Source organism: Homo sapiens, chromosome 2 (genome assembly GCF_000001405.40).
Source record: "Homo sapiens chromosome 2, GRCh38.p14 Primary Assembly".
Classification (NCBI taxonomy): Eukaryota; Metazoa; Chordata; class Mammalia; order Primates; family Hominidae; genus Homo; species Homo sapiens.
Window position 1 is genome coordinate 86,461,736 of NC_000002.12, and position 12,725 is coordinate 86,474,460.

At 38.1% G+C, this 12,725-nt stretch overlaps 1 protein-coding gene across 7 annotated transcripts in view; it reads left to right on the plus strand.

Moving 5' to 3' along the window:
* KDM3A (lysine demethylase 3A) overlaps positions 1 to 12,725 on the plus strand; it is a 55,673-nt gene that overhangs the window by 24,692 nt on the left and 18,256 nt on the right. For all 7 annotated transcript variants that reach the window (XM_047445102.1, NM_018433.6, XM_047445101.1 and 4 more), the window contains 3 exons: positions 2,318 to 2,481; positions 4,637 to 5,148; positions 8,469 to 8,673. In XM_047445102.1, coding sequence (XP_047301058.1) covers positions 2,318 to 2,481; positions 4,637 to 5,148; positions 8,469 to 8,673 — 881 coding nt within the window. The remainder of the gene's footprint in view (positions 1 to 2,317; positions 2,482 to 4,636; positions 5,149 to 8,468; positions 8,674 to 12,725) is intronic.

Sequence of the window (12,725 nt, forward strand, 5' to 3'; positions counted from 1 at the left end):
GACTTGAGGGTGAACAGAGAGAACCAACCAGCCACTGAAAACGATGTAGCCAGAGAGATAACAAGTACAAAGGCCCAGGCAAGAAAGGGCTTAGAACACTAGGAGATGAGAAAGGAAGCAAGTGTAGTTGGAGTACTGTGAGCAAGCGGGGCAGTGAAAGAGATGGGGGGAGGAGGAGCAGGAGTGGTAAGGAGACTGGACCACATGGGATTCTTGTAGGCAGTGGACTGCCGTGATCTTATTTGATTTATGTTTTATAGAGATTGCTCTGTGGTAGAAGAGATCTTGGGTAGGATGCAGAGGATTCAACAAGAATGGAAGGAAGGTTGGTTAGGACATGTGTAGCTTAGGGGAAAGATGGTAGTAGTAGTGACATGAAAAGAAATGGGTAGATTCAATACATACTTTGCAAATAGAGGCAAGATTTATTGGTTTATTGATTACATATGGGAAATTAGATGGAGGGTTTTTTTTTTTAACTTGAGCGGCTTGATTTTATACAGAGTAAAAATTTATGCTTAGGTTTATAATCCAAATTTCTTAAGTATGTTGCTCTTGGGAGAGTGAGGAAAGGTATTAGTGCATCAATTCTAAACATATTCAGAATAAGGAAGGTGACCAATATGAGGAAAGATAATTGGTAAAATTGAGCCTTGAATAAGCATTTCAAAATGATTTAGCATTAAACTTTGGGAGACTAACCTCAGATTAACAGGGAATTGCAAACTATTACAAGCAAAAGGGACTTTAGGAATAAACAAATTTCCTCATTTAAAGGATTAGGAAACTCAAAAAACACCCAAAACCAACCATCACACCTTCTGGAGAACATTAAGGTACTATTTAACCAAAATTGAGTTGACTGAAATAGTGTAATATATGATCAGATAATTTAGTGCCTAAAAATAGTTGAAACTATGCCAAAACTTTGCCAGTGATTAAATTCTTATTTTTCAGATATATCTGTATATGCTAGCTAGTCTTTTCAAGGCTGTCAAGTAAATTTCTGAGAAAAGCATTCATGAGTAGAGTACATATAAATATATTCGAAATTGTCAGGTTTTAAAAACCTGCTGGCCAGGCACAGTGGCTCATGCCTGTAATCCCAGCACTTTAGGAGGCCAAGGCAGGCAGATTACTTGAGGCCAAGAGTTGGACACCAGCCTTAACATAGCAAAATCCTGTCTCTACTAAAAACACGAAAAACTAGCCGAGCATGGTGGTACATGCCTGTAATCCCAGCTACTCGGGAGGCTGAGCCCTGAGAATTGCTAGAACCCTGGAGGCAGAGGTTGCAATGAACCAAGATGGCGCTGCTGCACTCTAGCCTGGGTGATAATAGTGAGACTGTCTCAAAAACAAAAAACAAAACAGAAAACCTATTAGTGGAAGTTGTAATCAAACTTTAGAAGTTAATGACTAGAAGATGAAGAAACTTTGGAGATTCTTCAAGTTTAGATTTGGTGGTAAGGCAAGACGATTGAGAAAGGTATATGACTTAAAAATTTAAGGTATATAACTTAAAAATTTAAGCACATGTGAGGAGCCTGGTGAAATGGGTGAATTGGTTTCACCTGGTTCAGCCTTAGACTAGTTGTCTTGAGTTTCTCCTTTCTTTTTTATGGTGGGAAGTTTATTTTTGTGAATGGTATAAACTGTTAAGAAGTTGATTCAATACTTCCTTTTTTTGAAGATTAAGTTACCTGAAAAGGGAACTGGGACAGGTGTCCCAACTTTGCCCACAGGCCTGTCATAACTTGATATTTTTTGCAGCTTGGGATGACTTCTGTGACTTGATGAGCCACATAAGAGCAAGAACTGTCCTCAACTTTTATTGCATTGCAAAGGCTTATCTGGGTACCAAATAGGCATCCCTGCCTACAAGAGTCCTATGTGGTCTGGTCTCCTGCCAAACTATGCAGTAAGTGCGTGGTGGGCACTCAAGTCATGCCAAAGTGAATGCATGTGAAGCTGCCACCATTTAAAACTGTCACTTAAAAGTTCACCTCTGCGTTGCATTAGTAAAGTAATTGCCACCTGACTGTTTTCCTGGCACAGTGGTTCAGAGGTCTGAAAAAGATAAGCTTGTGATCCTTTGTAGGAAGACATAAGTTTTGTGAAAAGCTGGAGTGATTACTTACAGTCTTAAAGCCCTGAATTGTATAGTTTATCACTTGTTTCACTTTCCTGTTTCTTTTTATTTGGCAATGGTATTATGTTTGTTTAGTATTAAGCAAATGATCTTAAATTTGGTAGCATTTTATTATTTCCTAACTAGGGACTTCCTTTTAATATCTGTTGGTTTGGTATCTTCTAGGCCTCTCCCAGTATGTGTCCTGTGCAGTCTGTACCTACAACAGTTTTTAAGGAGATACTGCTTGGCTGTACTGCGGCAACTCCACCTAGTAAGGACCCAAGACAGCAAAGTACTCCCCAGGCTGCCAACTCTCCACCTAACCTTGGAGCAAAAATTCCTCAAGGGTGAGTAGTGATTTGTTAAAGATGTTTAATTATAATAATAAAAAATTATTTTAGTCATGGCTCATTGTTTTTATCCCTGGTTGTCCAGGGAGGTTTTTCGTTAGAGTTTCTGAGAAAAGATGGATAGATGCTTTTGAAGGTGAAAAGTATAGAAGGCACACAGAGCAACATAGAAAATGGTATAGAAGTGAAAGGGGGCATGAGAAAAGAGACTGTCTTGATACAGTGTGAAGGAGCAATTGAAATAGTACCTTTGTAAAACAGGTGTCTTCTTTTAAGGAAAAGGGAACAGATTGGTTGTACATGGAAGACTGAGGTCAGTGGGAGTGTGAAGAAGCAGTGAGACATGGTTACAGTGAGAGATTCTCCGCAGCCTCGACATGAATTGACCCAAGTATAGTTGAGAAATTTGGCAGTAGAGAGGACTCTAAGAATAATAGAAATGAGGAAGCAATATCTGTAGGTGGTAACTGTTACTAACTTGTAGAGGAAGAAAATGAGTACGAAATGTAAAGTTTCACTAGAAAGTTTAAAGTAGGTACAAGGTTGACAGAGCAAGTAGTTTCAAGGGAAGGATCTCTTCTGGGAAGTGGTGGTGGCCTGCGTAGGCAGGCAGTTGATACAGCCTTAAGATGTAGGTCAGAGAGACTGTGGTATAGAAAAGTAGGTTTGGAAGGTGGGAGAGTGGCTGAGCACACTGGTTCACTGGGAAAAAGTAGTCAGTCTGGGATAGAGCTTGGAGGATGGCCATGTGGCAGTCAGACAGGAGGAGGAGCAGTCTTCAAAATAGAAACGGAGGGAACATTAGGAAGTTCAGTGATATCCAAGGAAAGATTTTTCATCTGAGTGTTTAAATGAAAAATTCTTCTCCAGGGTGAAGTCCTTTGGTAGAGGCAGGAACAAACAGGTATAATAGAAAAAAAGGACTTTGCATTTTTCTGGAGAAAGAACTCTAGGATGCTAAGAAACAAAAGTTCTTCAAGGCTATCCCTAGTAAGATGTACAGGGAAAATACCAAATCGTTCTGTGAATAACCAAGTAATCAATCAGCTATTCTATTTGCTCTGTGTGCTGATCACTGAACAAACAAGAATGAAATTATTCTCTGTTAGGGCTGGTTACATGTTGCTCATAGCAGAAAAGGGTTTTGTGCTGCTGCCAGTTTGTTAGTTTTTTTTTAGTTTTTGAGGTTTTTTAGAGACAGGATCTTGCTCTGTTGCCCAGGAGGGAGTGCAGTTGCAGTGGTACAGTCAAAGTTTAAGTTTACTGCAGCTTTGAACTCCTGGGCTCAATTGATCCTCTTGCCTTAGCCTCCCAAGTAGCTGGGACTACAGGCGCGTGCCACCACACCAGGCTAATTTTTAATTTTTTTGTAGAGATGGGGGACTTGCTATTTTGCCCAGTCTGGTCATGAACTCCTGGCCTCTAGCAGTCCTCTCATCTTGGCCTCCCAGAATCCTGGGATTACAGGTGTGAGCCCTTGTGCCTTGCCCATTGTTCGTTTTTAATTAGATTTTGTGTGAATATCTTTGAAGGGATTTCTAACATTTTTTATATACGTATATATTTTAGAATTTTTATCTTGACACATTGACCTTTACTAGAGGTTCAATTTTTGACTCTTGGCAAGTAGCAAGAATGGAGTTTTATCTTTAAAATTCAAACATAATCTTTACTATAGAAGAAAGAGTTTTAGCAGAGGTTTCTCTGAAATTTACACACAAAAAAAAAAAAAAAAAAAGAAGAAAGAAAACTTTCGGAATTGCCCCTACACAGACTTCTGGTTTTGATACTTATAAACCAGCTTATCTGCTGAGTATATTCTTTGGTTTCATACAATATTTTGTTTTGAGGGAAAGCTAAGGTTCATTGTGCTGTGAGAAGTAGAACTAACGTAAGAAGTTAAAGATTTCTGAGAACGTGCAGACATAATTTAGGGTTGTATTTTTCTGAGTGTTTATGATTTTTGCAGAACCATTGACTGATGACTTTTAACTCTAGCTCACAGAAATCTATCCTAAATTCTGTAACATATGAGAAATTTTCTTTTTTCTTTCATACTCGTTACCTTAGGGAACCAAACAGTTTGTTTGGGGAAGATAATGGAGAGATAAAAAGAGGCCTGGATGCTAGCTTTCTATATTATATTTTTCAGATGTCATAAACAAAGTTTACCAGAGGAAATTTCTTCCTGTCTAAATACAAAGTCTGAAGCTCTGAGAACAAAACCAGATGTCTGCAAAGCAGGGTTGCTCTCAAAGTCCTCTCAGATTGGAACTGGAGACTTGAAAATTCTGACTGAGCCAAAAGGCAGCTGTACTCAGCCTAAGACAAACACTGATCAGGAAAACAGATTGGAGTCTGTTCCACAAGCATTGACTGGCCTTCCTAAGGAGTGCTTACCTACAAAGGCTTCTTCTAAGGCAGAATTGGAAATTGCCAATCCTCCTGAACTGCAGAAGCACCTAGAACATGCACCTTCCCCATCGGATGTTTCAAATGCACCAGAAGTGAAAGCAGGTGTCAATAGTGATAGCCCTAATAACTGTTCAGGAAAAAAGGTAGAACCTTCAGCTTTAGCTTGCCGATCACAGAATTTAAAGGAATCTTCAGTAAAAGTAGATAATGAAAGCTGTTGTTCAAGAAGCAACAATAAAATCCAGAATGGTGAGTGTTTCTCAATATCTTTATTGGTAGAAGGTAAGAAATGGTAGATATATATATCTCTTTCTTGTCCTATGAGAAACTATGTGAAAATGACTTTGTAGAAATAGTTTATACAGTCAGAAAAGTTGAAAGAAGGTATAATTCCCAAATCTCAGAAACGATTACTGTTAATATTTTGGTGTACCTGGTTTCATGTATATAGAAATACAGATAAACTGTATTACACAAATGGGTTCATGCCAATAATTTTACCCTGTGAATTAGTGTAGGTGTCTATTAGTATTTTAAAGCAAGGATTCCATTATGTTCATTTACCATAGGATTTAACTGGTTCCTATTAGGTGGGTAATTAGGTGGTTCCCAATTCTTAGGTTAAGAAAATTTTGAAACAAAATCTAAAGTAATCTGGTGTTTACTTTATTTCAGCTTGTCACTGATCTTTCTGTTACATCCAGGTTGGAGTAGGAAGAGGTGATCTGTGACAGGTAGCTAAGATTTGAAATTTTAGAAAAGATGCAGAATTGTATCATTTCTGGAAAAAGGACTTGGGTTAAAGATGTTACGGATAGGGCTGAACTACCAGGAAGAGTCTCTTTGCTTAAGGGGAGGTCCTGCTGCACCCACAATTTAAAACTACTCTTCTTATGGGGAAATTGGTACGTTGTACTTGATGCTACTTATATGAAGTTTGAGGATGCATTATAATGGTGGTAGTTATCAGAAGCTCTGTTACTAGAGTTAGAAGAACAAAATGTTTTCAGCATGTCAAAAGGTTTAGAGCTATTAGAATTTAAAGATGCCTTTTGATCACTGTTAGCTATGTGGGAAATTGATATGGATTTTGTTAATGTTTTAGGCTGGGCATAGTAGCTAACACCTGTAATCCTAATACTTTGGGAGACCACTGTGGGAGGATTGCTTCAGACCAGGAGTTTGAGACCAGCCTGGGCAACATAGTGAGACCCCATCTCCACAAAAAATTTTTTTAAAAATCAGCCAGGCATGGTGGGGCACACCTGTTATTCCTAGCTACTGGAGAAGCTGAGGCAGGGGGGTTGCTTGACCCCAGGAGTTGGAGGCTGCGGTGAGTTATGATTGTACCACTGTACTCTAGCCTGGGCAACAGAGTGAGAGCTTGGCTCAAAAAACAAACAAACGAAAACAACCTACGAAAACAATTTATTTATTTGGATCAGTAAAAATGAATATATCTACACTATCTTTTTAACTGCAGGCCTCTGTGAAATTAGAGGGCAAGATGGCTGGATTTGACTTGCGAATCTTTTTAGTATAGCATTGGAAGAATAGAAAGAACTTTCTTTGCCTAGCAATACTTCTAACCTAGCTTCTTCATTGAGGCTTAAGTTAATATAGCTGTTAATTTGCATAAAATTAATTGCATAAGATTATCCTGTTCTCAGAAATTAGGTAACACTCAAAAGAAAGTACATATTCATAACCATATCCTTGTTCTATTTGTTGTTTTTGAATCATCAGCTCTCACACACAGCTAGTTTTTGAAGCAAATTTAATATTATGTGACGAAACAGTAAAGATTCTAGTGCAATAAGCACATGATAGATACACAAGTGAGTTACGGAGTCCAGCTTTGTCTCATTTAATATGTTATGTAGCTATTCCCCATCTAATGGATTTTAAAAGAAGTGAAAAACTTACATCCTGGAGTAGCACATCCTGCTATCTACTGTGACTTTTTTTTTTTGGTTGAGGTGTGAGAGTGTGATCAGAAGCCTACCGGGACTTCTGAGCTGTGTCCACTAGTACTGCATGTTAGTACAGAAGGCTTGGAAAACTTTTCTGCTCCTTTCTTCCACTTGGGGTCTAGAAAACAAAAGCAAACTGGAGTCAAACAGCTGCCTTTTTTTCCGTTCAGATAGATACGTGGCTCCTCGGAAGTGGGCGTTGCATTTTTCTCTTGACTTGGCTTTGAATTCAGAGAATCACTGATGGTAGCACCTGTTGCTCTCCTCAGTAAAGAGCTAGATTTAGACAGTTCAGCTTTCTTGTTTCTAGATATTTCCTCTTGTGAGCCAGGATAGAACAGATAAGATAACCTTCTTGCCTGTGATCTGTGGAAGCCTGGCTCAACTCAAAGGATGTCTTTCAATATCTGAGTAATTAAAATTACATCCTTGAACTACTAATCTCTTTATTTTCTCTCCTTTCTTACTTTACCTTCTCTTTCACTATAACTGAGTAGGAGTGTTTAAGGGATCAAGGACTAACAGCATCATGTAGAAATTTACATGTGGTCTAGTCCTGCTTTAAAAGAGAGGTAAGATTAGATCACCTCTAAGGTAATTATTGAAGATGTTTACTTTATTTAAAACCTTCTTTGGTTTGGGATCTTCCAATTTTCTCCAAGACTCACCTCTCCCACCCATCTCTCAACTAGTTCCCCAGAAGCTGTTGGTTTTTGACTTTCGTTTGTTTGCCTAAAAACCCACTTCCCTCTTCTCAGCTCTCTGGGACCCTAAGAAAAGGTCTTTTCTGTTTTCTATGAAATACTCCTTAAGGCTCTTGACATACAAATGGATTCCTTACTTTGTTATTTTCTCTGACACGGTGATTGCTCTTTCCTGATACATGTCTACCTTGTCTTTAGAAACCATGTTAACATTTCAAATTCTCCGGCCTATTACAAGTTAAAACATAAAATCTGCATTTACTTAGAATGATAATCCTGTCTGTAGCCAGTGCTCTTAATCCTGCTTGGACCACATGTGTGAAAGAAGGGGAGACATGTCAGGAGTCAAGTGACAGGCATTTAGAAGATGCTCTAACTCCATAGACCCAGGGGCTACGTAGGAAAGTGATTCGTTTATTGTTATTTTTAGAATGGTTAGCTTTTGCATTGTACTTTTAAAAACACACCTTAAACCAGTCTTTTTTGAATTTGGAAAGTGACAGAATGGACATCTACTAAGTCAGGCCTCTGCAGAAGTGAGCCTCGAGATCGAGTTTGAATTAAATGTCTGATTTGAAAACATCCTAAAATGTAGAGTTGTGAATAGAAGTATACATTAACTTTGAATTGTGAGTCTGGCTGTTTAATTTGGGGTTTTATGTTGCCAAATGGATTGAGCAAATAAGAATTGTTTTATAAAGAGAGTAAAACTTTCCCAGTTATTCTGATAGTTGTCTTCTGTTGAGCCATTTTTAGAAATTACAATTGAACCAGGAATTGAGAAGGGAGTTCTCTTTAAGGGAATATTGGGTTTTTGAATAGAATTCAGTCATATATGAATGTGATTTTTAAAAATTTGAGGTCCTGTCTCCTTAATCTTTTGTTTTCCTAGCCCCATCCAGGAAGTCGGTTTTGACAGACCCAGCTAAACTCAAAAAGCTGCAACAGAGTGGCGAGGCCTTCGTACAGGATGATTCTTGTGTGAACATCGTGGCACAGTTGCCTAAATGCCGAGAGTGTCGCTTGGACAGTCTCCGCAAGGATAAGGAGCAACAGAAGGACTCACCTGTGTTTTGCCGCTTCTTTCACTTCAGGAGGTGAGGCATTTTGGGAAAAGTTCAGATAATCTGGGCATACTTGTTATGCTAGATCATCTGGCATACTTTTGTTACTCTTTTATCAACAGTAAATCTAGAAGTAAAAAGGTGGTAGATGTTGCATTTATAATCTCTAGGTTGGAGAATCTAGATCTTATTGCATGTTACTTTTCATTCTTATTTTTGATTTTTTTTAAAGTAACAAAGCTTAAAAATATAAACTTCTATTTCAAAAAGTAACAGTCATTATAGAAAAATGTCGAAGGTTCTGAAAAACCACTACAAATAACTACTGTTAACTTTTCAGTGCACTGTATGATCATAAAATGTATACCTAGTTGGTATACCTAGTTGGTATATTGCACACCCTGTTTTGAATCTTACTTTCCCATTACATAGTAGGAACCTCTTGATCATAACCTTTTTCTTTAAATACTTTTGAATTTCTGTGTAAGAGCACATTATAGTAATGTTTGATAATTTATTTCACCAATTCCCTTGTTGGTATTAAGATTATTTTGTATTTTTTGTGACTGGAAGTAATGCAGAAATGATCTTCTTGTCCATGTCCCTGATTATTTGCTTTGGGAGGATTACTAGAAGTGGCATTTCTGGGTCAGAAGGTGTGTGTGTTTTAAGGCTTTGATACACCTGTTCTGCCAAGTTATCCTACAGGAAGGTCGCACCTGTGTCCTTGACAACTGCAGGGTTTGAGCATGCTCCCATGGTCTCTGTACCATTGCCAGCAGGGAGAGGCATACCTTTTTAAAAAATCTTTTCCAATTTTATAGGCAAAATTTTCATATATATATATGTGTGTGTGTGTATGTATATGTGAATATATGTGTGTATATATATGTGTATATATGTGTGTATATATGTATATATGTGTGTATGTGTATATATGTGTATATGTGTATGTGTGTATATATGTATATATGTGTGTGTGTATATGTGTATATATGTATATATATGTGTGTATATATATATATTTTCAAAATCATTTTCTTTAAATTCTTCTATCCTGAGTGAAGAAAAAAGCAGCCCTATCTTTTTTGTTCATATAGAAATGAACAGTGTTGGTATAGTTGAACTTGAGATATAATTCACTTTCTCAGAAATCTAGGTACTTTCAGGTTGGACTAACTCTAATCATAAACAGAAGAGTTGATTTCAATTCCTATTCTCCTCCTCCCTTTTCATTTTATCTAAGTTAAAAGATTGCTGATGAGCTGAATTAAATGCACAGGGAATTTAGATCATTATATCTGTGCTCGTAACTTTCAGATTCAGGCTTATTTAACGAAGTAAGAGTTTTTTAGGTACTAGTTTGCCCCATTCATCCCTTTGTAAATTGCAAAAGCACGTCATAAAGCATGTGGGTAGCATTTAGAGCTGTAATACTGTTAACGTATGTTAACATATGCATATATTAATATATTCTGAATAACGCCTGGCCCAGAATAAGCTGTTAGTAGAGGGTAACTCTGTTTCCCTTCCTCTCGAGAATTTTCTTCTTAAACAGTGTGTTACAATGCATATTCATTTGTATGTGTATGAATTTTGAAGACACTGAAATGGTTATGCTTTGTACAGGTCTTTGTGTTTCTATTCACTTGATTTCATGTTGTTATGGCTCCTCTGCTATGAAAAATATAACTAGATTGGATGAGAGAGTGGTTTAAGTTGCAAAGGCATTTTAGGGAAGGGATAATTTTTTTTTCTTTCTTTTGTTCTTTGTAATATGATTAGAGCTTTTTTTTTTAACCCACTACATTTTTGTAACAGTCTAGAAGTCATTGACTTTATGACTTAGCTGTTTTTTTCATTTTTGACTTCTTTAAAGGGGAAAGTACCTTTGCCTAATGCTGCGTAGTAGAAGCCAGTGTAGTAGAAACCAGAAGAAACTCATATCTTGGTAAAAGAATATCATAATTTAACTTTTTTCCTGATGTTTAGAGTGAAGATTGAGGCTGTCATTAGCCTCCTCATCAAGTTTGTATCTCATTAAACTCTTCTGCAAATAAAATAGGAGTAGGGGTAGGGTCTCAGTGGTAAGGCTCAGCTGCTAGGTCCTATTGCCATTACCTCCCACTTTGAAATGCTTTCAAATTTATTTTTTTGTGTTATGACTATCTCTAATTTGGGCCATCTTAAAAAATTAAAAACTTTCATCTCTCATTTTGACTGCTTGAAATAATTTGCGTGTGTTAGGTAACAGTGTCTTGTCCTTCCAGTTTATTCTACACTCTTTTGGACAAATGGTTTTTCTAAAACACAACTTTGCATGTGTCTCACATGATGACTTTTGATAGCTGCCCACTGCCTAGCAAAGTCAAGGTCCCCAATGAAATACTGAAGGCTTTCAGCAGTTGACCCCAACTTACCTCTGCAAGTTCTTCCTGATTCTTACCTATTTGAATAAACCCTTTAGTCTAATTAGTCTATTGCCACCCTGTTCACCTCTAGTTTTCTTGCTTTTATATGAAGTACTGTCTCTTGGACATACCTTCTTTACCTAATTGTCTACCTTTTCTTGCCAAAGCAAGCTCAATTACTCTCTTTATTATGAAGTCCTTGTCGTATTGGCCCACAAAACTCATAGTCAGCAGTCAGCACTTCCTCCTCTGCTCTTATAAGAATTAATGACTGTTAGGATATCTGTTACAGGCTACTTCATTGTGTTTTATATCTATTTCTTATGTCTCCTACTAGAAATATTTGTTTGTATGTATGTATGCATGTATGTATTTACTTATTTATGTTTAGAGACAGAATCTTGCTCTGCTGCCCAGGCTGGAGTGCATTGGCACGATCATAGCTCACTGTGTAACCTCAAACTCCTGTGCTCAAGTGATCCTCCCATCTCAGCTTCCCAGGTAGCTAGGACTACAGGCTTGTGCTACCATGCCTGGCTAATTAGAAAAATTTTTTTTTGTAGAGACAGGGTCTTGTTGTGTTCTCTGGGCTGGTCTCAAACTGAATCTGTCTCAGCCTCCCAAAGTGCTGTGATTACAGTGAGCCATTGTGCCTAGACAGAATACTGTACTTTTAGGCTGGGTATGGTGGTTCATGTTTGTAATCGAAGCACTTCAGGAGACCAAGGTGGGAGGATCGCTTGAGCCCAGGAGTTTGACAGCAGCTTGGGCAACAGGGCAAAACCCTGTCTCTACAAAAAATAGAAAAAGAAAATTAGCTGGGCGTGGTGGCACATGCCTGCCTTCCCAGCCACTTGAGAGGCTAAGGTGGGAGGATTGCTGAAGTCTGGGAGTGGGGGTTGCCATGAGCCGTAATCATACCACTGTACTCCAGCCTGGGCATTGGAGTGAGAGCCTGTCTCAAAAAGAAAAAGAAAAATTTTGTGTTTCAAAAATTTAAAACTAATACATAGCTTATGAAAAGAACATTCAAGTGTTATACAGTATTGAAGGCAGATAATGAACAAATGTTCTGCCCTTTGTTCCACTTCTTAGGTTCTGAGGCCCATTTTAATGCTTCCCTCTTTCCAGAAGCTTGGACGGTAACGTGCAGCTGGAATTTATATAGGCACCAAGTACCTCACAGACCAGTGTGGTCATTGCTTCAGTGACTATCTAGGGGTTACCCTTCTTTAGCTGAGCTTTTTTCTTGAAGCAGTAGTTGTATTTAAATCTGATCAGATTATTTATCACCTTCTGTTTGTTAACGACTTAACTTCTGTAGTAACTTGTGATTTTCCTTGCTCTTAAGTGTCAAGTCCAGCAAGTTGAACAACTATCCCTGGAGGCAGTATGATTATATTGGTTTGAGTGCAAAATATACCTCTCTCCCCTTCTCCTCCCTCCTCTTTCCCCTGTCTAGCTTGTCTTTTGGGGAAAAAGTGTTTTTAATCTTCCTACTGACATTGCCAAATAATCATTGGCTGTGATTAGCCATGGAGATTACAGAAAACTAGGAAGGACTTTGTTGATTTAAATAGTAATTACAAGTTGTGGATGGGCACGGTGGCTCATGCCTGTAGTCCCAGCACTTTGGGAGGCTGAGGCAGGCGTATCACCTGAGGTCAGGAGTTC